General features: G+C 49.6%; 1 protein-coding gene across 8 annotated transcripts in view, besides 5 other annotated features; it reads left to right on the plus strand.

Annotated features, from left to right (window-relative positions):
- Positions 1–15,925, plus strand: part of KDM2A (lysine demethylase 2A) — a 138,820-nt gene extending 122,895 nt beyond the window's left edge. For 7 of the 8 annotated variants that reach the window (NM_012308.3, XM_017017391.2, XM_017017392.2 and 4 more), the window contains 9 exons: positions 852–935; positions 3,032–3,301; positions 3,828–3,959; positions 6,124–6,213; positions 7,929–8,641; positions 10,537–10,700; positions 11,296–11,454; positions 12,046–12,261; positions 12,717–15,925. In NM_012308.3, coding sequence (NP_036440.1) covers positions 852–935; positions 3,032–3,301; positions 3,828–3,959; positions 6,124–6,213; positions 7,929–8,641; positions 10,537–10,700; positions 11,296–11,454; positions 12,046–12,261; positions 12,717–12,898 — 2,010 coding nt within the window. In that variant the 3' untranslated portion in view covers positions 12,899–15,925. The remainder of the gene's footprint in view (positions 1–851; positions 936–3,031; positions 3,302–3,827; positions 3,960–6,123; positions 6,214–7,928; positions 8,642–10,536; positions 10,701–11,295; positions 11,455–12,045; positions 12,262–12,716) is intronic. The other variant, NR_027473.2, reaches the window with a different exon arrangement.
- Positions 11,342–12,541: an enhancer, noted in NCBI's record as "CDK7 strongly-dependent group 2 enhancer chr11:67020970-67022169 (GRCh37/hg19 assembly coordinates)". NCBI's record gives its function as "activates an origin of replication core promoter dependent on BRD2, BRD4, P300/CBP, MED14 and CDK7 cofactors, with strong dependence on CDK7, by STARR-seq in HCT116 cells {active_cell/tissue: HCT116}" and the evidence as "EXISTENCE:reporter gene assay evidence [ECO:0000049][PMID:35650434]".
- Positions 11,342–12,999: a biological region, named in NCBI's record as "CDK7 strongly-dependent group 2 enhancer GRCh37_chr11:67020970-67022169".
- Positions 11,998–12,498: an enhancer, noted in NCBI's record as "H3K4me1 hESC enhancer chr11:67021626-67022126 (GRCh37/hg19 assembly coordinates)". NCBI's record gives its function as "activates a minimal SCP1, AML or CMV promoter by ChIP-STARR-seq in primed H9 embryonic stem cells {active_cell/tissue: H9 hESC(primed)}" and the evidence as "EXISTENCE:reporter gene assay evidence [ECO:0000049][PMID:30033119]".
- Positions 12,499–12,999: an enhancer, noted in NCBI's record as "H3K4me1 hESC enhancer chr11:67022127-67022627 (GRCh37/hg19 assembly coordinates)". NCBI's record gives its function as "activates a minimal SCP1, AML or CMV promoter by ChIP-STARR-seq in primed H9 embryonic stem cells {active_cell/tissue: H9 hESC(primed)}" and the evidence as "EXISTENCE:reporter gene assay evidence [ECO:0000049][PMID:30033119]".
- Positions 24,105–24,304: a silencer, noted in NCBI's record as "silent region_3619". NCBI's record gives its function as "represses an Ori minimal core promoter by ATAC-STARR-seq in GM12878 lymphoblastoid cells {active_cell/tissue: GM12878}" and the evidence as "EXISTENCE:reporter gene assay evidence [ECO:0000049][PMID:35858748]".

The following is a 24,311-nucleotide window of genomic DNA, read 5'->3' on the forward strand; positions in this document are numbered from 1 at the left end:
GCATTGTTCGTAAGTCATTTAAATTTTATTGGTAATGCCATGAGAACTTTTGCCCCTAAGATTGTTCCTTTCCCCCATTTAGAGGAATAAAGGCAAATAGCAGACTCTGTGGGTGTGTGTATGTGTGTGTGTGTGTGTGTGTGTGTGAGAGAGAGAGAGAAAGAAAGAGATTTGAGATTGAGATTTCTGTAATCAGCCTTAGAAGAAAAGAGCCCTGGGTTGAATCTGCACATTAGGCTGTACCATTCATCTCATTAATTCTGTATTAGCAAATCATTTTTATGCCACTTGGTTCACATCTGAGAAATGAAGGCAATTACCTGATAATATTCACTAACTGGTGTAGAAAAGTGAAGAAGCAATAATAAAGTTTTACTGTCATATGTAGAACTGTATGAGAAGTAACACTTGTCACCACAGTAAGTTAGTTGTTTCAGTGTGTTAGTATAATTAGTACACAAGTAAGGGATTGGGAACAAAGGTGAGTTTGAAGTCCTTTCTGCTCCCCCACCACCACCATCCGCCCCCAGTAGAGATGGGTCTTGCTGTGTTTCCCAGGCTGGTCTCAAACTCCTGGCTCAAGTGATCCTCCCACCTCTCACAGGCATGAGCCACTGTGCCCAGCCTCAAAGTTTTGATAATATTGCAGCAGCCTAAGTTTGAGTTTTCTCCTTCACCTTTGATTTATTTGTTTTCCAGTGAGTCTCTATATGAAGGGCAAATACAGACAGTTGCCACCCTGCCTCCCTTGCTACTCAAGGGTACTGAGGCAGAGTCTGGATGCTGTTCAGGGTGGTTGGCTCTTTGTTCACCCTGCCCTGATTTTTCCTTCTTTTCCCTCCTACCCTTAGATTTTGCTGGAGGAGCTTGCCAACAGCGATCCCAAGTTAGCCCTCACTGGAGTTCCTATAGTACAGTGGCCAAAAAGGGATAAGGTAAGAAACTATTTTCCTTGATCTTTAGGCTGCTTAAGCCTTTTGTTAGTTGATCATTACCATTCTGGGGAAAACAAGAACAACTAGAGGCAGATGGCTTTTGGTGCATTAATACAAACTGACAGAAAATCATTATTCAGTTCTGTTTTGACTCGTAGGTCAGGGTAATTGGCTATCTTTGGAGGTGACCTCTCTTAACAGAACTATCAAACTGGGAGGCCTCCCTCCAGATTCAGATGCCAAATTGTGCATTTGTGCATCCGCTTCTATCCTTGTGACCAGTTACTCAGCTATCTTCACAGATATGATTGAAAGCCAGTTAAAATAATTACATAGATATCTAAAAGGAGCAGAGTTTTTCTTTGACGTAGTGAGATCATTCTCTCAAAAATCCCCTTACCTTGGACTTTGCAGTGTGGAATGGAAAAGAGAAGAAAGGGGCCGGGCATGGTGGCTCACACCTGTAATCCCAGCACTTTGGGAGGCCCAGGCAGGTGGATCACCTGAGGTCAGGAGTTCAAGACCAGCCTGGCCAACATGGTGAAACACCGTCTGTACCAAAAATACAAAAATTAAGCCAGGCGTGGTGGCATGCGCCTATAATCCCAGCTACTTGCAAGGCTGGGGCAGGAGAATCACTTGAACCCAGGAGGCAGAGGTTGCAGTGAGCCGAGATCGCACCATTGCACTTCAGCCTGGGGGACAAGAGCGAAACTGTCTCAAAGAAAAAAAAAGAAGAAGAAGAAAGGAATTACTGTCAGCTAATAAATTGTCAATTATGAATTTTCATGCCTCTTCAGTTTAGATCCTGTATAATTTTTTTCCCCATACTGTCCTCTATCAAGGTTATGTATTAAATAAATGATAGCATTCTGATCCTGGCTGTGAATTTGGCAAATAAATGAGGCTTCTGTTTGTTGTTCCCTAGCTGAAACTTGCAAAGCCATCACATTCCAGGGGTGTTTAGGCAGAATATAAAGGTATGGAGTTGAACAGTATATTTAGAGAATCACCTCCTCGTCCCTAGTGGGAGGAGTCCTGCTTGGCCTCTGCTTGGCCACAGGTGACTGCCTTAAAACAATTCAGTCATTTCTGGTTGTTGAGTATTTTGTGTCAGAAAAGTGTTTAAGATATGGTAAGAAATTAAAGTAGTAGAAAACATGGTCCTTGTCCTTGAAAAGGTCACCAGCAGGGTAAATGCAAATGCTAAGAAATGTGTTCCACACTTAAATATTATTGAAGTGTCTGCTATCTACCAGTTCGTATGCTTGAATTTGGAGTACTAAAGAAATGAACAAGACTAGTTTCACCTTAAGGGAGTTTACTGTCTTCTTTAGGAGTATAATCTGAGAAGTCAGGATGAGGAAATATTGGAGGGCTCCTGGAGTGACTTCGGTACATGGCACTTGATACAGAAAGCTCAGGGAGGGGTGAATCTTAACAGCTCTGCAAAAAGAAAGGGAAGCAGCTGAATTAGTAGGCCAAAGGGCTAGGACAAGGGCTGGTAAATTTTTCTGTAAAGGTCAAGATAGTAAATACTTTAGGTTTTGTACACCACACAGTCAACAATTTCTCAGTTCTACCATGGTAGCATGAAAGCAGCCATTGATTGGCCGGGTGTGGTGGCTCACACCTGTAATCCCAGCACTATGGGATGCCAAGGCGGGCAGATCACGAGGTCAGGAGATTGAGACCATCCTGGCTAACATGGTGAAACCCCGTCTCTACAAAAAATACAAAAAAATTAGCTGGGCATGGTGGTGGGCACCTGTAGTCCCAGCTACTTGGGAGGCTGAGGCAGGAGAATGGCGGGAACCCGGGAGGCGGAGCTTGCAGTGAGCCGAGATCATGCCACTGTATTCCAGCCTGGGTGACAAAGCGAGACTCTGTCTCAAAAAAAAAAAAAAAAAGCAGCCATTGATAATACATACACAAGATGAGTTGTGTGTCAATAAAATTTATTCTAGAAACAAGCAGTGGGCAGATCTGGCCATAGTGGGCCAAGCCCCAGGCTAGGTATGCTACCATGTAATCTTCTACCCTATCCAGTCTTAAAGCAACCTGATATATTTGACCTCACTGCTTTCTCTTTCCAGCTTAAATTCCCCACTCGGCCAAAGGTGCGGGTTCCTACCATCCCCATTACGAAGCCTCACACTATGAAACCAGCTCCACGGTTAACACCTGTGAGGCCAGCTGCTGCCTCCCCGATTGTGTCAGGAGCCAGACGGAGACGAGTGCGATGTCGAAAATGCAAAGCCTGTGTGCAAGGAGAGTGTGGTGTTTGCCACTACTGCAGAGACATGAAGAAGTTTGGGGGGCCTGGACGCATGAAGCAGTCCTGTGTCCTCCGACAGTGCTTGGCAGTGAGTGATCTGCTGGGTAAAGAATTTTGGGGAGGGGTGGCAGTGCCAAAGGAACTGAAATACATATAGTGTAGAGTTAAAGAGACTTCAGAGTTGGAAAGAAAAGGTTTATACTCTCTTTTTGGCTTTATTTTGTACCTTTTTTCCCCAGGTTTAGATAGAAGGTATCTAGTACTAAAAATCCGATTTAATCTTTAGGCTTTACCTAATTTTCAAACAAGAGATTAGCATTTGAAGGGCAAATCATTGCTTTCTTTCCCCTCTTCAGGTAGATTAGAAAGGACCGGGGAGGCCAAGTATAGGCCAACTGAAAATAAACTAGTCTCTGGTGCCCAGGTGGTTGAGTCCTCCTCTTCCCCAGTCATTTTTCCTACCCAAAACCTCCGTTCTCTCCACCCTGCCTCCATGCTTCCAGGTGTTTAGTAGAGAATTATAGGACCCAAATCTCCCATCTTCAGTTTAAGGGAAACTGAAATGATAAAGATCTGAGTCAGTTCTCTTGGATTCTATCTTTGTCCTCTTGTAGCCCAGACTGCCTCACTCAGTCACATGTTCCCTCTGTGGAGAGGTGGATCAGAATGAAGAGACACAAGACTTTGAGAAGAAACTCATGGAATGCTGTATCTGCAATGAGATTGTTCATCCTGGCTGCCTCCAGGTGAGGAGAGCTATGAGGGGTTCCTGAAGTCTCAGCTAATGGAGTGAGTGACACAACAGAATGGGACACTTGTGATGGGAGTGCCAGCATCCCTACTGTAGGCCATCAGCTCTGTGGTCACATAATGCAGTGGTCTAACATCAGCCCTTGATTCATATATGTACAATGTGTCAGGCACTGCGTTAGACCCTGAGGATAGAACAGTACACAAAATAGACCCAGTTCCTGTCCTCATGGAGCTTAGAATCTGGACTCTGGATTGGGTATGTAGAGTTCCCAGGCCATAATGGAACTGCATGGTGTGTTTTGGGATGCCTCAAGCCTTTAGGCATCTCTGATACATACTTCAGTGTACCTCTGGATATTAGTTCCTAAGGGAGAGTGAGGATAATAATATCAGATAACATTTAATGAGTGCTGAGTCTGTATCAGACTCAGTGCAGAGCTAAATAGCTTTAAAAAAAAAAAGTAATAAAAAGTAATAAATTCAGATCTCAGCCTCAGAGATTGAGTCCAGCATGGGCCTTGTGTTCCAAAAGCTCCCCTACTGATCCGAATTGTGCAGCCTTTGTGGAGAACCACTGTTTCCTTGGCCTTCTTAGAAAGTATCAGCTAAAATCATGACTGTCGCCTGACAGTGATAATAAGACACTGTCATTCATGAGAAGCAGCCCAATTTCAGAAAGGTTAAAATGTGAAAAGTATACCTTTTATAGATTTTTGGTTTTTTTGAATACTATATAGTAGCAAATCTATAACAGAAACAATAGTAGGTCAGTATTTGGAGGCATTAAGCATATGTTGAATGAAGAACCGGGTTTTTGTTTTGTTTTGTTTTTGAGACATAGCCTTGTGTTGTTGCCCAGGCTAGAGTGCAGTGGCACGATTATACATTTATTCATTTAATGTTATAAATTATTTTATATATATATATATATATATATATATATATATATTTTTTTTTTTTTTTTTTTTTTTTTTTTTTTTTTGGAGACAGAGTCTTGCTCCTTTTGCCTAGGCTAGAGTGCAGTGGCGTGACCTCGTCTCACTGCAACCTTTGTCTCTGGTGTTCAAGTGATTCTCCTGCCTCAGCTTCCCTAGTAGTTGGGATTACAAGCACGTGCCACTGCGCCCAGCTAATTTTTGTGTTTTTAGTAGAGATGGGGTGTCACCGTGTTGGCCAGGCCGGTCTCGAACTCCTAACCTCAAGTGATTCACCCGCCTTGGCCTCCAAAAGTGCTGGGATTATAGGTGTGAGCTACCGCACCCAGCCTGATTCTTAGGATATTTTAACAGCATTACAATCTTTTTTTTTTTTTTTTTTTTTTTAAGACATGGTCTCCCTCTGTTGCCCAGGCTGGAGTATAGTGGTGAGATTTTGGCTCACTGCAGCCTCCATCTTCTGGGTTCAAGCAATTCTTCTGCCTCAGCCTCCTGAGTAGCTGGGATTACAGGCATGCACCACCATGCCCAGCTAGTTTTGTGTTAAGTAGAGTTGGGGTTTCACCATGTTGGCCAGGTTGGTCTTGAACTCCTGGCATCAAGTGATTTCCCCACCTTGGCCTCCCAAAGTGCTGGGATTACAGGCGTGAGCCACCATGCCCGGCCAACTTTACAATCTTAAAAGTTTGTTTGATTAATTATAACTTGGTGAAGATGTAAATGGTGCATATTACATCTATTAACATATCTCAAACCCAAAGAATTGGTGAAATAGGGTATTAATTCCATGATGATGATAATGGCTAATACAAAGGGTTTTCTGTATGCCATACCTTTGTTAAATTCTTTACACAATGAATAATCTTCACCACAACCCTATAAGGTGGGTTTTGTTGTATCTCTGGCAATTATATTGTTGTATCTCTGTGTATTAGTTCCTGAGGGAAAGTGAAGGTAATAATATCAGCCAACATTTTACAGTGGAGAACACTGAGTCACAGAGACTAGAGCATTAGTCCCTAAACCCAAGCTATCAGAACCTGTGCCGCACTGTCAAGATCAGGTTCAGCACCATTGGCTATTTGGGGCTGGATTGCTCACAGTTTTTCTCCCTTTATGGACCAATGTTGTTGAGAAATGAGTAACTCTTCCCAACTGTGTTATTGTTGGATAAAGGAAGCTTGAGAGACAGGCTTTTAAAAACATCTCTGTCTTCCTATAGATGGACGGAGAGGGGTTGCTTAACGAAGAATTGCCAAATTGCTGGGAATGTCCAAAGTGCTACCAGGAGGACAGCTCGGAGAAAGCCCAGGTAAAGGAACCTTATCAGATTTGCACTGTGACAGAAAGGAGGCATCAAATGTGGGGGATTGCTACACGTTTGCCTTTGCATTAGTGTTCACACAGTTTCTCTGACCTAGGAGATTATTTTTGTTTGGTTTGGTATGTTTTTCCTTTGGTTAATTTTTAGTATTTTCTTTGTTAGAGTTTGTAGCATTGTGTTTTGTATTACTAAATGTTGTTCCACTTGGGATCTGCAAATTCCTAAGGTCCTTTTATACTCTGGGGCCCTACAAAGAGAGGAACCACGGCTGGGCTATTTGAGGAGAGAAATTAGGTGAGTATGATCCCTCCTGAGGAATGTTAACTAGAGGAGAGGCAGTGGCCTGAGGCAGCCAGTGAGTGCAGCAGTGTACTTGAGCTTCCAGTTAAGCAGGTTCACATTTTTGTCATCTTCACTTTTGTGGCCTGGCAGAAAGCCCTGCCCTGCCCATCCCACATGCCCAAATGTGTCATGTGGAGGCAGCCCCTCCCCCAGAGAGGACCAGTGCTATGACCTTGGCCCAGAGGAGCTGAGGTTGCTGACCAGTGGTTGCCAATAATGTCAAAGGGCCAAAAGGACTGTACTTACTCAGGCTGACAAGGCAAGACCAGCTGTGGACACCTACAGGAGGAGATGGCTTTCCAAGTGCCAGTCTTTCAAGGACCCTTGCACGGGAGCAGGGAAGGGGGCAGAAAGGAATTTTCTTACTTTTTATTTCTTCCCACTTGGATACTAAGATAGTTGAATTTTTCAATCTATTTGTCTTTGAGGGCAAGGATTTTTGAAGTTGACTAGGGCCAAAGTTCTCCTTAGTTCTTGCACTAGTGACCTTTACATGTGTCTTCATTAGTGATGTTGAGTGTTTGCATCTCTGCTGTAGCAGATGTGTTGTTGGCAGATGGCTGTGTTTTAGTATTACCTTCTAATACATTGGAAAAGGTAGCACCCAAAAGGTGGTCATTTTCTTCCAACCATAATGATAAAAAAATGTAAGGAGGAAAAGGAGCAGAGAACAGGGTTGTTGCTTAGAGACATAAAATGTCTCCTTGCAAAAAACCTGAACTACTGATACGGTTCCTAGTGGAACATGTTTACTGGGCTTTGTCATAGCATAGTCATAGTGGGCTCCAGGAAAAGACAAGTATCTAGAGAGCACAAATGCCACAGATAAAGTTGGGGGCTCTTGTGGGATTCCTCACCATAATCCTGAGTGAATCTCTCTGTAGCAACCCAGTTTCTCAGAGAGGTTCTTGTTATCTGCTTTATTATTCACGTGGGGGTTGGAGTGGAAGACGCAGCCTGGTGGAGTCAAACTTAGACTGTGGTAGAGCTAGAAGCCAATGGTGTTTACCATTGTCAGACTCAGGATCTTAGTTCAAATGGTATATGTGGGCTTTTTCCACCATGAAACAGAAATACGTCTCTTGGGTGAAAGAGGTAAGTCAGAGACGCAATTAAAAATGGTCAGGCCAGGTGCAGTGGCTCACACCTATAATTCCAGCACTTTGGGAGGCCAAGGCAGGTGGATCACTTGAGCCCAGGAGTTGGAGACCAGCCTGGGCCGACTCTGAGGGAATGACCCCCTCTCCAACGTGACCTTTCTTCTCTCTGGTCCCCTGAGAGCAAGGGAGGTCCACCCTGTCGGTTCAGAGGGTTTGGAAGAAAGGAAGCACTGATGTTGCTTTTCTGGGCCTGTTTTGCAGAAGCGGAAAATGGAAGAGAGTGACGAAGAAGCTGTGCAAGCCAAAGTCCTGCGGCCCCTGCGGAGCTGCGATGAGCCTCTCACGCCCCCGCCTCATTCACCCACTTCCATGCTGCAGCTCATCCATGACCCGGTTTCCCCCCGGGGTATGGTGACTCGGTCATCCCCTGGGGCTGGCCCCAGCGACCACCACAGTGCCAGCCGCGATGAGCGCTTCAAACGGCGGCAGTTGCTGCGGCTGCAGGCCACAGAGCGCACCATGGTACGGGAAAAGGAGAACAATCCCAGCGGCAAAAAGGAGCTGTCTGAAGTTGAGAAAGCCAAGATCCGGGGATCGTACCTCACTGTCACGCTACAGAGGCCCACCAAAGAGCTCCACGGGACATCCATTGTGCCCAAGCTGCAGGCCATCACGGCCTCCTCTGCCAACCTTCGCCATTCCCCCCGTGTGCTAGTGCAGCACTGCCCAGCCCGAACCCCCCAGCGTGGGGATGAGGAGGGGCTGGGGGGAGAGGAGGAGGAAGAGGAGGAGGAGGAGGAGGAAGATGACAGTGCAGAGGAGGGGGGTGCAGCCAGGCTGAATGGCCGGGGCAGTTGGGCTCAGGATGGAGACGAAAGCTGGATGCAGCGGGAGGTCTGGATGTCTGTCTTCCGCTACCTCAGCCGCAGAGAACTTTGTGAATGTATGCGAGTGTGCAAGACGTGGTATAAATGGTGAGCAGGGATTCAGGGGGTCAGGAATTAGGGGTATGGGAGTAGGTGGCAGGTTTTCCATATGAGAACAGCATGCACCTTGGCATCTGAAAGCCTGTGGGGTCTTATGAGGAGTGAATTGACCCTTTTTCCCAAACTTTGGGTCCTGTTTAAAGATGTAGCCTGTTGTACCCGCAGATGTCATTAGGGAACTGGCCATTTGCCTCCTGGCCCTGCTCTATACTTTCCCATGTCTCATTGTTATGGGGAGGGAGACTGATTTGCGGGATAGATTTGTAGTCTGTGATAAAACTTGAGAGTCTTGCGGGCTGAAAATTTCCTCCTCAAGTCAGCTGAACTCATCACATGTTGGTTGAGAGCCTATGATGTTCTAGTCACTCTTCTGGTGCTGATAACACAGATAACCTCACTTAAGCCCCTGACTCAATTACCTCTCCATTCAGTGAGAGAAGTGGGCATGCTTTTCAAGATGAATTTGAAGGTGCTTAACATTTTTCTTCAGTTTTAATGCTCATCCCCCCAAACCTGGATCAGAATTCCCTCTTCCAGCAAGCAGAGTCCAGTTTTGAAGCTTCCTTAATGAGAGCTACCATTTCTTCTTAAGTTGGACAGACACTTGGGGGAAAAAATTGCTAGTGATGATGAACAAGGAGCTTCCCATTGGGCATTGTTGGTTTTTCCTTAAACTCTGGTATATATTTACTCTAGGATATATCCTTTTTATCTGGGTCACACACATCCTATTACAGTAGTGTGGTGTCCTGACCAATGGCATTCACTCAGGAACTTTTTAGAAATGTCAACTGTCAGGACCCTCATAGGCCTCTTAAATCAGAACCTCTTGGGTGGGCCCAGCAGTCTGCTTTAACAAGCGCTCCTCCAGGGGACTCTGATGCATGCTCGAGTTTAGAGCAGCAAAATCTGCTGTATTGTCAGCAGCTTGCTTCTGCCATAGAAGCTTCATGTGCCACTGGTAAAATTGTTTCAGTCTCTAAATAGACCCTATTCTTTGCAAACATGAGTTTATTTCCCAAATCTGAATTAATGTATAGTGTATCTAAATTCTCCTTAATATTTCTCTGTCTAGGGCTAATAGGACTGCTTGGCTCTACCTCTTGGTTTTCAGGGCAAGGCACATCAGATTCCCGTTATGTGCTGTCTCTCTTCCCCTGCCAACCAGGCTGGGGGGCAGGGGCTATAAAATATTAAATTGAAGCCAGCATGTTGTGGTTTGTGGCCTGTAGATTTGTAGACTGCAGTGGAAAGCCAGGCCTATCCCTTTCAGTTCTGGTCTGGCCTGGCTAGAAAATGTCAGGATAGCACTGAGGCAGAACTTGAGGGTGAGAGAGGACTCTGTAAGCCTGATAAAGAGCCTCTTTTGACCTGATACAGTAATGGGCTGAAGGCAGGGTGAATTGTGGATGTGCTGAGTAGCACCCTGCATTTCAGGCAGCTGCGAGTGATTGACAAGGGAGGGAACGGAGCAGGCCTTCTTAGCTTTAGACAGTAAGAAGTCTAGAAACTTCAAGAGGCTCCCTTATATACACTTCAGCAGGAACCATGCCATTTTAATACAGATGAAGGGGCTATAGACTGTTGCTTGCTATGGGTCCCTAACAACTGTTGTGTTCTCAAACACTCCAGAATAAATCAGGGTAAAGTGGTCAAGTTATATACTATCAACATGTAGGTTTGCAAAGCGTCTAGTTGTTGTAGAGTTCAAGGCAATTTTTTGCCTATTCTGTGAGGCAAAAAATGATAAGGTGTGATCCCTGTACACTTGTAGAAGAACGAGCCTCCAGGTACTCTGCTTTTCCCAGAAGCCATAAGCAGCCTGTGATGGGAGCTCCACTGATCAAGTTAATGAAGGCGAGTTCTCTTCCCTTCTATCACAGGTGCTGCGACAAGAGACTTTGGACAAAAATTGACTTGAGTAGGTGTAAGGCCATTGTGCCCCAGGCCCTCAGTGGCATCATCAAGAGGCAGCCAGTCAGCCTTGACCTCAGTTGGACCAACATCTCTAAAAAGCAACTGACATGGCTCGTCAATAGGCTGCCAGGTAAGTGAGCAGCCCTGCCGCTGTCTTTCCAGGGGCCCAGAAGAAGCGGGCAAGAAAAGTTGCATTATTGGCAGTGCTTCTTAGCATCACTGGAGGGCAGTGTAGGGCAGCAGTCCCATGCCATTGTTGCTTAGCAAGAGGTTTACCCAGGGCCATCTTAAGTGTCAGTCTCCCAGGCAGCACTCTGGACTGGCAGGCCAATCACTGCAATGGACAGCAAAGAGAACGGAATCAGTGTTGCTGCCAGCCCTGCAGTTCTCCTCAGCATAACCACTAAAGAGGAAATTTGAGTCAGATGTTACTTTGGTCAGCTCCTTATAAGCCCTTGTTCTCTTCAGCATTTTGAGCTCTTAGAAAGACAGGAAGTCACTCCTTCTTGTATTGCTCTGGTGGGAACTAAGCAATCAATTTACCACTAAAGCTAGAAGATGTAGTATAGGATACCATGGAAATCTTTGAGCTGGATGACTAAAAGATTAGGCATAGTCCTTCTCTCCTATTAGACTGGAAGTTTGTTCACTTTGCTCAGATCGTTACGGCTCTGAGTATGCTGGGAAACAGTGTATTATTACATGTCTCATTCCATCCATTGCAGGACTGAAAGACCTCCTCCTAGCAGGCTGCTCCTGGTCTGCAGTCTCTGCCCTCAGCACCTCCAGCTGCCCCCTTCTCAGGACCCTTGATCTTCGGTGGGCAGTAGGAATCAAGGACCCTCAAATTCGGGACTTGCTTACTCCACCGGCTGATAAACCAGGTATGCTCTGGACCTGACTTCTCTGTGCTTGTCTTGGGGTAGCTTTGTCTTCCAAACAGACCTCGTCTTCAGAAGCTAAGGTAGTCTCAGATATGACGCTGTGGAAGAATAGAAGAGCACAAAATGAAAACAGAATGATGGACTGTGTACAAGAATAGGGTAACTATAAGCAGATAACTACCTACAAACAATGGAGTAAGTCCATTTTGTGAGTTGGTGGAGTTTGGGGCCCAGAGAGTGTAAGCCTGAAAAAGTCTGAGAAGGCTTTATGGTGGAGGTGGAGTCAAAAGCTATTTGCATGATGGTCTAGAAAAGTGTGGTGGTATTGGAAGGGGAGGAGCATTCTGCACATAGCCTTTTGCTGTGTGCATGAGGCATAATCTAGCAGCTTGAGAAGAAAGAAAACTTGTCTGGTTTCCTAGAAACTGCCTACACCCAGTGCTCACACCCTGAAGGCATGGCTGGGTGTGGGCAGTTCTACTTAACCCCTTCAAGGGGGCCTGGCCAGCAAGTAGCTGTTGCTGCCTGGAGCCTTGAAGCTGGATTAGAGAATTGAGAGTTTTGATCTAGGCTCTTCTCTTGCCTGTACAGGTCAGGACAATCGCAGCAAGCTCCGGAACATGACCGACTTCCGGCTGGCAGGCCTTGACATCACAGATGCCACGCTTCGCCTCATAATTCGCCACATGCCCCTCCTGTCTCGACTCGACCTCAGTCACTGCAGCCACCTTACAGATCAGTCCTCCAATCTACTCACTGCTGTCGGGTCTTCCACTCGCTACTCTCTCACAGAGCTCAATATGGCAGGTATGCCGCTACAGTTGTTCATAATCAGCGGTGCCCCCTGCCTCCAGCCCTCCCTGGAACTTGATCAGTAAACCAGAATGACCTTGGGTCTGTTGATTGACCCACATCAGCTCATTTCTTCACATCTGGACAAGGACATGGATTTCTATCCCTTTTTTAACTGATGGGGGACTGAGGCCTTGAGTAGTTAAGTCGGTTGCCTGTCTGCGCAGCCAACATCCAGCTGGAGTTTGGTCAGCCTTGCAGCCCTTGTGCTTGTTGTCATATGGTGATGGGAGTGAGGCAGCAGGGTCCCTTTGGAGGTGCTGATGGCACTTCTGGTCTCTGAGCCAGGTAGTTGTGGGACAAAGAGGGCTTTTGTTTAGCATTTTGAAGGAAAGACGGCTACAGGAATTGAATGGCAGAGGAAAGCTGTGTGTATGTGAGCACTGTCATTATGTCCACTTTCCCGACAGGTTGCAATAAATTGACAGACCAGACCCTGATCTACCTACGGCGCATTGCCAACGTCACCTTGATCGACCTTCGAGGATGCAAGCAGATCACTCGAAAAGCCTGCGAGCACTTCATCTCAGACTTGTCCATCAACAGCCTCTACTGCCTGTCTGACGAGAAGCTGATACAGAAGATCAGCTAAGACACACCCAGCCCAGATTCAACAGGAAACCGATCTTCCCCTGACTCCCCACCGAGGAGAGCCTCTCCTCGACCCTGCACGGGCTCTGAGGCCAGCGTCACACTCCCTCTCTGCTCTCCTGTCCCTTGAGCCCTTCCTCTACAGGTGGGGCAGAGAGGGTGGTGGACACCAGGCTTATCTGCCTGCTCCTCTCCCTCCTAAGGAAAAGGGAGTAGCAGATTGATCTGAGGGGAAAGCACAGGCTGTGCTGTCGAGGCGCCTGCTCGCTTACTCGCCTGCCAGGAGGCCGGGCTCTCAGTTTGGGGTGTTTGTGCAACCTTCATCTGCACTGGGCCCTGTGCCCCTCCTCCCCATCCATGGTCCCCAGCAGTGCCTGGTTCTGAGCAAACTCCCAGGGAAGAAAACGGCCCTGTCTCCATGGCCAGGTTCTTGTGGTGTCCAGTGCGCGTCTCTCCTCCATCACACTCTCCCGGCTTGCGCAGGAGGGGCCAGCAGCCCCAGGAGTCCCAGACCCGTGCCGATCACACTGGTGCTGTTGAGATCTCCCAAACCTCACGTCCTTAACTGTGCTCTCCCTCCTTTCCTCTCCCTTGAGCTTGGTTCTGCCCAGCACTCGTGCTTGTTCACATAATTAGGTTTCCCACCCCAGCCTACCCGACTTACTTGCTAGTCTCTATGAGGTCCTTATTGCACTTATTGGGGTTGAAGCTCTTCAGAGGAGCTGGAACTGTCTACCCCAGGGACACACCCATTTCGTTGCTACCCAAGTGGATTCTGAGACAGGCACCATCTCCTTGTTCCCCCTCTCTCTTTTGCCTCCCACTGACTGCCCTTTTCCATGTGTCTTCATTCTGCCTGAAGAAGGCTTTCCCAGGATGCACGTCCTCAGAGGGAGCAGCCTATCTCCCCCAAGCTGGAGGCGGCAGAGGACTGGGCCAAGCCCCAACCTGCCTCCCAGCCAGGCTCCTCCAGGCCTCTGGTTTAGCGGAGCCCCCTGAGCCCAGGCCTGTGTCTAGCCCCAGTGGCTCACTGAACTTTCAGGGCAGTCAGGGGGTCCTGCTTAGAAGCCAGTCACCAGCCCTCTGCCTGCAGCCATGGAAGGGGGTGTGCACGTGCCTCTGTGTGTGTGGCTGAGTGTATTCTGCGCGTGTGTGTGGAGGGAGGGAGGGAGGGGAGCATGGTGTCTCCCGCTCCACCGCCCTTTGTTGAGCCCCATCAGCTGCCCCCTTTTACTTTGCATTGAACGGCCTGTCCAAAGATCCTCTCTCTAGGGCAGCAGAGAGCTTTTTGCACTTTAAAAAAAAAAAGAAAGAAAGAAAGGTCGGAATTTCTTTTGGGTCAATATTTTTAAGTGTGTGAGGAGATGCTCAGTAGCAGCAGCCTATGGCAAGAGCTTATAAATGATTGATGCAAATTTGCACTCTGCTCCCCCTCTGTAAGGATACTGATAGCACAACCTCTTCCCCCCACCCCGCCCCGCCTTTTGGTCGTCCATCCCTGTCCCTTTCTGGCCCTCTTCCTGTAGCCCAGTCTCAGGCTTTCCTCTTCCTGAAGCCCTACAGAGTTAGGGAATGGAGCCCAGGCACCAGGGGTCTAAAGTGTGAGCCACTGAGAAGAGAGACGCCAACTGCACCCTTGCCACTTCCAAAGCAATAGAGGCAGAGTGGTCCCCTCTTTGCCACCTAGGCCAGTTTTGACCCTGGCATTAACTGGCCTTAGAAGAAACTGGATCCTGGTAGGGGGTGGCATTTTGTTTGTTTCTTCCAATCTGCTGAATCTTTTGACTGCACCTTACAAACAGCAGTCTGCTCCCATGACCCTCTGCCCACTTCCATTGGTCTCCAGGCCCCAATAATCTGGGGTTGAAACTTTGAGGAAATGCCAGTGACTTATTCCAGAGTGCCTCAGTTAGGGGAACTTCTCTGTAAAGAACCCTGGGTATTGAGCAAAAACCTTATTATCGTTAATGACCTATAATTGGAAGCTTCCTGCCTTTTTCTTTGGTTGCTCCTGTGGAAAATACTGAAAAGATTACTTTGTTTTATTTTGTTGTCTTTTTATAAAAGGGGAGGTGGAGAGACCCCTTCAGAGCAGGGATTGTGCCGGGAGAGTGCCTCTGACTTTGGGACATTTCATCCACAGAAATTTCCAAGCCAATGGTTTCTTTTGGGTTTTGGTTTTTATGTTTGTTTTTTGGGGTTTGGAAAAACATGCATTTTTACCGTGCACGTAAATTGGTCAGCAGAAAAGGGAGCCCAGAAAAGGCAGCAGATGGACCATGCCCTTGCTGGGTTTTCCTTTTCTTTGGGACTGTGAGGGGAAATGGTTTTTAGAGGTGAGGGTTGGTCCATGTGGAGGAAAGAAGTGTCTCTGTTGGGGGACAGAGGAACCTGGGGAGTCCATCGCATGTCCTACAATCTGCTCTTAGACACGGCCTTGCCAGGAGAGCCTGCCCTCAGACTGCAGGACCAGAACCCCTGCCTCCATCTTTCCAAGCACCGGGGCGAAAAACCACAAAGGAAAGGAAGAAAATTTATATATATATAATATAAAATCACTTGGTGATTAAAAAAATAACTGCTCCATAAATAAAACTCCTAAAGTCACTTATGTTTAAAGGGTTTGGTTGTGTTTTTTGTTTTTCGGAGAAATATTGTAAATATATATTTTTTTGTTGCTGATTTAGAGTCAATCTCCAATGTTGTGCTAAAAAGTTTAAATTAAATGTAAGCATTAAGGGGATAAGTCTTATGCTATCTCAGTTGACACATTGAGGTTATTTTGGGCCAGAGAAGGAGGAAGCTAGTTGGACTTTGTTTTGTTTTCCAAAAGTTCTCCACTATTGGTTTTAGAGAGAGCAAGGACATCTTTCCTCTGACACGTGGGAATGGGTGATATTTGTGTAATAAAATTTTTAAAAGACAAAAAAAGAAATAGCCTCCAATGGGAAATATTTTAATTTAGGTTTTGTTTTTGTTTGGGGGTTTTTGTTTTTTTAAAAAAATAAAAAGGCTTTAAAAACAAAAACTAAACCTTTTCTGCTTCGGTGTGTGCGTGTGAGCAAGTCAGAAGGCTAAGGCCACGGAGCCCTTGCTTCACCTCTCAGCAGCAGCAGCAGAACTAGGGGGCATGTTTACTGCTTGGTTTTCCTTAGCTTATTTTTTAAACACCAAAAAAGCAGCACTTGCTTCTAGAAATACAACGTTTACTTCATCAAGGTGAACTTTTTTTTTATTTTTATTTTTTGAGATGGAGTCTCGCTCTGTCGCCCAGGCTGGAGTGCAAGGGCACAATCTCAGCTCACTGCAGCCTCCGCTTCCTGGGTTCAAGCGATTCTTCTGCCTCAGCCTCCGGAGTAGCTAGGATTACAGGCACTTACCATCATGTCCAGCTAATTTGTGTGTGTGTGTGTGTGTGTGTATTTTTGTAGAGACGGGGTTTCACCATGTTGGCCAGGCTGGTCTTGAACTCCTGACCTCAGGTAATCTGCCCGCCTCCACCTCCCAGAGTGCTGGGATTATAAGCATGAGCCACCGCGCGCAGCCCCAAGGTGAACTTTGTAATGGATGTGAACATTTTAAGTGTGAGATTACCTGACATTCTCTCACCCAAAAAGAGCAGCCCTGCAGAGGCACCCAGTGGTACACTCCTTAGAATGGGCTGGGGCATCTCTAATCTTTCATCCCCACAACTGCCAAGCCATCAGCCAGTGCCAATTCCATCTGCTAAAGCTGCAGAAAGTAGCTGAGCAGGGTCTGGCCCAGGCAGGCTGTGACCAGCGTGTCTCCCACCTCATCCTACTGCTGCTCATCGCCCAGCATGTTGAGTCCAAGTTTCCAGTCTTTAAATATGTGCGCCAGATGCTGCCAGAGAACTGCCTCCTTACCTGACTGCTGAGTCTCAGGAGGGCTGCAGTCCCATCTGGGAGAGCCTGAGCAGGCTTCCATCACTACCTCCAAAGGAATCTGGGGATCTCCGCCCATCCTATTCCCCAAACTGATAGTAAAGGACCATCTCCGATTCTGGAGCACAGTCTAGAAGTGGACAAGGGCGTTGCACAATGGGCTGATTTAATGTTGGTTCCCCCAAGGACGGATATGGATGTGGCCATGTTTGGATGTTTCCAGGGAAGGAAAAGTGTCAGTTTTGCCCCTAAATATCTCAGAAACCCATCTGCCCTTACTAATCTCATCTCTGCCACCCTAGTGGAAGCCACCACTGTCTAGAACCTCAACCACAGGAAAAGCCCCAAGGGTCCCGGTCCAACCCCCTGTCCTCCATGTTGGTAGCCAGACATTTATCTGAAAAGATTGATTTGGCTGGGTACAGTGGCTCACGCCTGTAATCCCAGCACTTTGGGAGGCCAAGGCAGGCAGATCACCAGAGGTCAGGAGTTCAAGACCAGCCTGGCCAACATGGTGAAACCCTGTCTCTACTAAAAATACAAAAATTAGCCGGGTGTGGTGGCGCATGCCTGTAATCCCAGCTACTTGGGAAGCTGAGGCAGGAAAATCGCTTGAACCCGGGAGGTGGAGGTTGCAGTGAGCTGAGATCGCACCATTGCACTCCAGCCTGGGTGACAAGAGCGAGACCCCATCTCAAAAAAAAAAGACTGATTTGACTACTTCCCTCCCCTGCTTAAAACCCTTCATTGTGTTCATCTCAGGATAAAGTCTGAATGTGGCATGTAATGTGGCCCATGAGGCTGCCAGGCCCTCCGGCTTCATTGCCCACCATTTGTCCCTCCTCTTCCTCTCCACTCACAGCCAACTTTTCAATTAACACCATCTCTGGGTCTTTGTATGTCCTGTTCACTCCACCTGGTACACCTAACTCGGTTTATCTATTACTTTCTCTGGGAAACCATCTCCTCCTTTACTCCAGACTGGATCAGGCCAGGCACAGTGACTGACGCCCATAATCCTAGCACTTTGGGAGGCCAAGGTGGGAGGGGCACTTGAAGCCAGGAGTTCAAGACCAGCCTGGTCAACATGTCAAAACCCGGTCTCTACAAAAACACACAGCCAGGCACGGTGGCTCACACCTGTAATCCCAGCACTTTGGGAGGCCAAGGCAGGTGGATCGTCTGAGGTCAGGAGCTCCAGACCAGCCTGACCAACATGGTGAAAGCCCATCTCTGCTAATAATACAAAAATAAGCCGGGCGTGGTGGCGTGCACCTGTAATCCCAGCTACTCGGGAGGCTGAGGCAGGAGAATTGCTTCAATCCGGGAGGCAGAGGTTGCAGTGAGCCAAGATCGCACCACTGCACTCCAGCCTGGGTGACAGAGCGACACTCTGTCTCAAAAAAAAAAAAAAAAAAATTAGCCAGACAAGGTGGCATGTGCCTGTAATCCCACCTACTCAGGAGGTTGAGGCAGGAGACTCACCTCAGCCTGTAGTGAGCCATGATCGTGCCACTGCACTCCAGCCTGGGCGACACAGTTGAGACTCTGTCTCAAAAAAAGACCAGTCTGTTCACCATCTTTCCAGGCCACAATTCTCAGAGCCCAGGTCCAGAAGGAAATCTCAGCGTTGACACCCATGTAGGTGCAGGAAACTGACGGCAGGCCCCAGAGGTCAGGGACACCTGACTTTCCCCCGTCAATGCTGTCATCCAGCCTCTGCCTCCCACTCCACATCCACCCCAATCCAATGGGCAGGGAGTTCTACCTCCCCAGAGCGTGCCATAGGATAGCAGGCAGAGGGACAGGGAGAGAAACATACCTTGAAAGACCCAGAAGAGGAAAGGCAAAGAGGTAGAAAGGGATGGATAGAAAAGAGACCATGGAGGAAGACGGGGGGGAGACATAAATGAGGCCCAGGATACTCTAGTGTGACAGTGGCCACTCGGCGGGTCGTCTCCCCAGCCCAACGCTTCACACACCTTTTTTTTTTTTTGAGATGGTGTCTCACTCTGTCGCCCAGGCTGGGGTACAGTGGCGCGATCTCGGCTCACTGCAACCTCCGCCTCCCGGGTTCAAGTAATTCTCCTGCCTCAGCCTCCCGAGTAACTGGGACTACGCGACCACCACCACGCCAGGCTAATTTTTGTATTTTTAGGAGAGACGGGGTTTCGCCATGTTGGCCAGGCTAGTCTTGAACTCTTGACCTCAGGTGATCCGCCCGCCTCGGCCTCCCAAAGTGCTGGAATTACAGGCTTGAGCCACCGCGACCGGCCCGCTTCACACATCTTATCTGAGTTAATCCTCAAAACAATCCAGTGAGGCCACGCGTGGGACGCCCTTTGTACAGATGAAAAAGGCTCTGCCCTAAGAAGTTAAGTAACTTGCCTAGGGCACCCAGCCGGGTTCCTAGAAGGTGGCACTGGCATCCTACCCCAAGTCTTTCCTACCCCACCCCTCGACACATGGCAAGTACCAGCGGTCACAATGTGGGCCCAGTGGGAGCGACGAGACCGTGAGTCGGACACTCACAAGCCGGTTAGGAGCGTCAAGGGGCAAAGCGGCTCTGGGAACAAGCTGCTCGGCGGCGCCGAGGCGCATGCGCGCTGGGCAGGGCTCCTGGCGGGCCGGGCGGGGCTCCGGGATGAGGATGAGGATGAGGGCGAGGGCGGGGGCGGGGGTTCGGGGACGGGGCCGGGCCTGGCAGCTCGCTGGGGCCCCGTCTCGGCAAAAACTCTGAGGTGGAAGAGGACCTTGGATCCGGGGACAGTGCGGGGACTGTGTGAACTTTCCAGAGAGTTCCAGGAGGAGGCGATGCTCCTGGGAGGCGGGTCGAGAGAAGCTAGGGGTCTCGAAACCCCTGCCATGGTTGGTGGGCTGGCGCCTGCGGGCTAACAATCCCCACCCAAGGTCCCTGCCCTCTGCAGAAAGGAGCGAAGGGCCCGGGCGTCCTGGTGATGTTGGAGCCTCCCGGATAACCAGGGCCCTTTTTCCCTCAGGGCCTTTGCATCTACTGTTCCGCATACCTGAAAAGCTCTTTTCTCTGCCCCTAAAACAACTGCTTCCCTCCCATCCTCTGGCTCTGACAAAAACGCCCTGAGTTTTCCCTGACTTCACCTGAAGAGGCTCCTGATTCTTAGAACTTGTCACGTGCCTCACAGGGATGTTCCCGCTTTCAATGAGATCAGCTGGGCTCTGCAGTGCCCTGCACATAAGGAGAACCCAACACTTGTCAGCGGCTGTTATCACGTATGGTTTGCCTCTAAGCTCCCCTCCTGTGTCTTCCCGTGTTGGATCCGCAACGCCAAGTACAGGTGCCTGGCATGTAGTAGGAGCTCAACAAATACTGTCAAATAATCGGGTGAATGAATCAACTCCCAGCATCCCGGCCAGAGCCTGACACTGTCTGGGGACCTGACATCAGAGGAATGGCTGTCCATGTTGGGGAGGAGTGTCCCCAGGTCAATCTGGCACACACCTGCTGAGGTCAAGGAAGCCCCGAGCTCACCCTCCTGCTCTGCAAAGCCCAGGCTGGAGGCGGAGAAGAGAGGTCTCAGCAGGACAAAATTCGCACTCCCGGGCCTTGGCACGTGCCACTTCCAACCTCTCTCATGCTCATGCACACAATGTCATGTTCAAGACTTTACCCAACCCTCCCCGACCCCTCCCCTGACCTTCTCCCGAGTGCCCTCACTTCCTTAAACTATAGCTCTTGCCAGGTTAATTGGAGATATGTGTTTAGGGGTTTTCTTCCCCACCAGACTGGGCTAACACTGAGTCTTGATTCTTTATGCAGCCCTTACCCTTACTTTGTGCTGGGGATGAGGGGTGCAGCAGTGACCAGGACAGAAATGCCAAGGGAGAGACCGCTGAGCAGGATATCTTCCGCCCACAAGGTGGCAGCACGAGGAGGAGCCTGCCACTCCGGAAGTGGGGAAGGGCAGTCCAGGCAAGGGAACTGTAAAGTTAAAGCCCCAGAGGTGGAAATGGACTTGGCTTGTTCTAGTGACAGAAGGAAGACCAGAGAGGCTGGAGACTAAGAGGAAGGGGAAGAATGGAAATTGCTGAGTTAGAGAGATAGGCAGGCACCAGTCTGTGCGGGTCTCATGGGCCACAGGAAGTGGGGTGGATTTTATCCTAAGTGCAGGGGCAGTCGTTGGGGGTGGGCTTTGATGGAGATCTATAGAAGCTCAACCCACAGGAACGGCAGGGCGCGCGGAGAGGAGGCTGGTGCAGGCATGCAGGCGAGAGGTGATTGAGACTCGGGCCAGGGTTTAGCAGGGCACAGTGGACGGATCAAGGATGTACTTCAGAGACAGATACGCCAGAGATGCTGTATGACAGCAGGGGTATACATCGGGGTGGGGGCCAGGTGAGGAAAGAGAGGAATCGAGGACAGCTCCTACATTTTGGGAAAATGGAGGATCCACGCCTGAGATGGGGAGGCGGGAGAGGAGCAGGTTGGACAGGGGCTGGGTAGTGGGAGCAAGAGCTCAGTGTGGGCCGCGCTAAGTTTGCAACATCTATTAGTCATCCAGTGGCGATGCCAAGTAATGATGTGTCTGTGGGGCTGCCAGCTGAGCAGAGATGGGGCTCTACTCCACTTTGCACTCCTAGCATCCTGGTCAGGGCCTGGAGCAGTCTAGGCACAGAACAAAGGTTTGTTGAGAGAAGGAAGGCCTGCCTGTGAAGGCAAGTTTGCAATCGACCTTCCTAGGACCAACAGAGGCAACACCGTCCCCAAAACCAGTCTTCCCCAGGCCTAGGGCTCACACCAACCTCTTCTGAACCTGGAGCTTCCTGAAGTCACTTTTCCTGGGCCCAGGAATCAATGAAGGGAGACCAGCCCCCCTCAAAAGACCCCAGCTTCAGGCCTGGCAGGGGGTGTGGATTGGGCTGTGGGTGGGAGGGACTGAGTTTTTAGGTGGGGATGGGAAGGTAAGGCCACCTCTTGGAACAGGATGGCTGGCATTTCAGAACTCACACACAGACTCTGGTCCAACAAGTTCATCAGGTAGAATTTTTAAAATAGAGGCTATTCCCGAAAACCCTGGCTGACATGTGGCTGTGCTCGCAGTCCAGAGGAGTCAGGACAGGGCTGTGGGGAGAGGAGGTTAGAGGCTTCATGTTGTGGCATCTGGCCTTGTTCCACCCCAAAACCCATGTGTTCCAAGAGCTCATTCACTCATTCATTCACTCATCAAACACTGATGCCTTTGAGTCGGGTCCTGTGGTGGGCACTGGGAGCAAAGGATGAACTAGGGGCACCAGTGACAGTGGGGGACAGTATGTCCTCTTTAAATATATATATCAGCATTTCCAACATCAGGATGCATTTTCCAATTGATGCTGACATGTAACGAGGCTTCACTCCCCACTGTCGAAACTTGCAACAATGCATCTTGCAACTGAAAATGGAAAACAGGGCCTAGAAGGTGGTAAGTGTAGAATTGGAGATGTACATAGTTGGGGTCAGGGAGTCAGGGAAGACTACCTGGAGGAGGTGAGTCTTAGCGGATGAGTAGGAGTTGTCCACGGAGGAAGGTACACAGAAGGGCTTCCAGGCCCAGGAAACAGCAGAGGCACAGAAGTGAGAATGGGTGGGTGAGTTGGTGGGGAAACTCCAGGTGCAGAGGATGGTAGCGAAACAAACTGGAGCATTCAAGGTCCAAGTCCTCCAAGATCTTGACTTGCAGATTAAGGAGTTTGTTCACCTAATCTGCTTTGGGCAGAGTGTGGTGAGTCCTAGAGACCCCTCTAGGTCTCTCACTCTCAGTAGCCCCAGAAGGCCTGGAGAGCTGCTTCTGGGTGCCAAGCAGGCAGTGACTCCATCAGATCTAGATTTGGGAAAAGCATCCCTGGTCAGGGCCTGCATCAGGGCAGTGGCTGGCCATGAGGACCCTGAGAAGTAGACAGATTCACGGAGATTCTCAGGAGGCCAGACAGGAGACTATGGTGACAAATTAGATTAGAGAAGGGGAGAGAATGAAGGAGCAGTTGGGGAAAAGAAAACTGAGGCTCTGACATGGGTATATGGGTGGCGAGTGACTCACCACCCACTGAGAGGAGAACCTCACAAGCTCTGACATGCTCTGGTTCCAGGTTCTGTTGGGGCTGATCCAAGATGGTAGCCTAGAGGTGCACAGAGATGGGGGCCTTGCTTTGCAAAAGGATGCTGGCTGCTGGCCCACAGCATGGTAATGAGATTTGAGCTTTATGTGCCCAGGGCTGGGAGGAGGGTCCTGTCACTTTGAAAGCAAAGAGAGGCTCTAGAGAGGGGCATGTTGAGATAGGAATGCTGCCTTGAGACACCTGGCTTTCCCCACTCTGGGTGGGCTCTCAGCAGGGTGGGTTTCCCCTGCCAGGCAGCACTGAAACCTCTGTGCGCTTCCGGGCTGGGAGAGTTTTTACCGTAACTACATGTGGAACCATCCTGAAGGAACATCTGGATGGGATGGGGTACAGGGAAGGGAGCTGCCAAGAGTGCTGGCCAGGGACCTGGGTCTATGAGCTGGTTGGGGGGTGGGGTTGGGTGCAGGGTACTTGATCCTGAGTGGGCCTTCTGCGGCCAGGATTGGTTCTAGAGTAGGAGGGGTGGGATCAGGGATGGGGGAAGCCTGTAACTGCGCTGCAGTTGTCAGGTCCCAGGTTCTGGGTGACCTACTAAGGATTCTGGGTCCAGTGTGGGTCCCAGGTTAGACGTCCTAGTCCTGAGTCCGTGTCCACAGTTCTGGGTGTTGAGTCTAGGACAGTGATCTGGAGTTGACAGTCCAATCTAGGTCTGAGTCCTGACCCCAAGTCTAGAGTTCAGGGTCATGGTAGTAGCCTAGGGTCAGAATCAAGGTTGGGGTCAGTAACCAGGATGGGATCGAGGTCATGGTCCAAAATCTGGATCTGGGGACCTGTTGGGGGTCTGAGGTGAGTGTCGCAGTCTGGGTATGGCGTTGGAGACCCAGGGCTGTGATCTGAGGTCATGGTTAGAGTCTGAGGTGGTGGGCCAAGGTTTGAGTCTGGGGTCCTGTTTGGAGTCTGGTGTCAGGTCGTGGACTGCGTCCAAGGTCAGGGAGTCCGGGGTTATAGCCAGGGTCTGAGATGAAAGTCCCAGGATGGTGTTCAGAGGTCTGAATCTGTGTCTTGGTGAGCGTCCAGGTTCCCTGTGATCACGTTTGGTGTCAGGGCTGCGGCCCGACTGGGGAGCCTGGGATCCAGAGATGTGACCCGAGGTTGTGGTCAGAGAATGGGTCTCGGGTCGTCTTCCGTGCCGGGTCCCTGTCGTGTTCCAGGCCCGGGTCTCCGTCCAGCATCGAGGGCCGAGGTCACGGCCAGGGTCTGAGCCCGCGGTCGCAGGTCTGGTTCGGGGTCAGATTCCGCGCGGCCTCCAGGGGGCGCCGTCGCCCGCCCGGCTCGGCCCCTCGCGGGCTCGCTGGCGTTGTGCGCGGCAGGCGGGGCCGGAGGCGGCGGCGGCTCCGGGGCGCGGGCGCGCGGGCGGCGGCGGCGGCGGCGCCCCGA

This window comes from Homo sapiens, chromosome 11, assembly GCF_000001405.40.
Source record: "Homo sapiens chromosome 11, GRCh38.p14 Primary Assembly".
Lineage (NCBI taxonomy): Eukaryota > Metazoa > Chordata > Mammalia > Primates > Hominidae > Homo > Homo sapiens.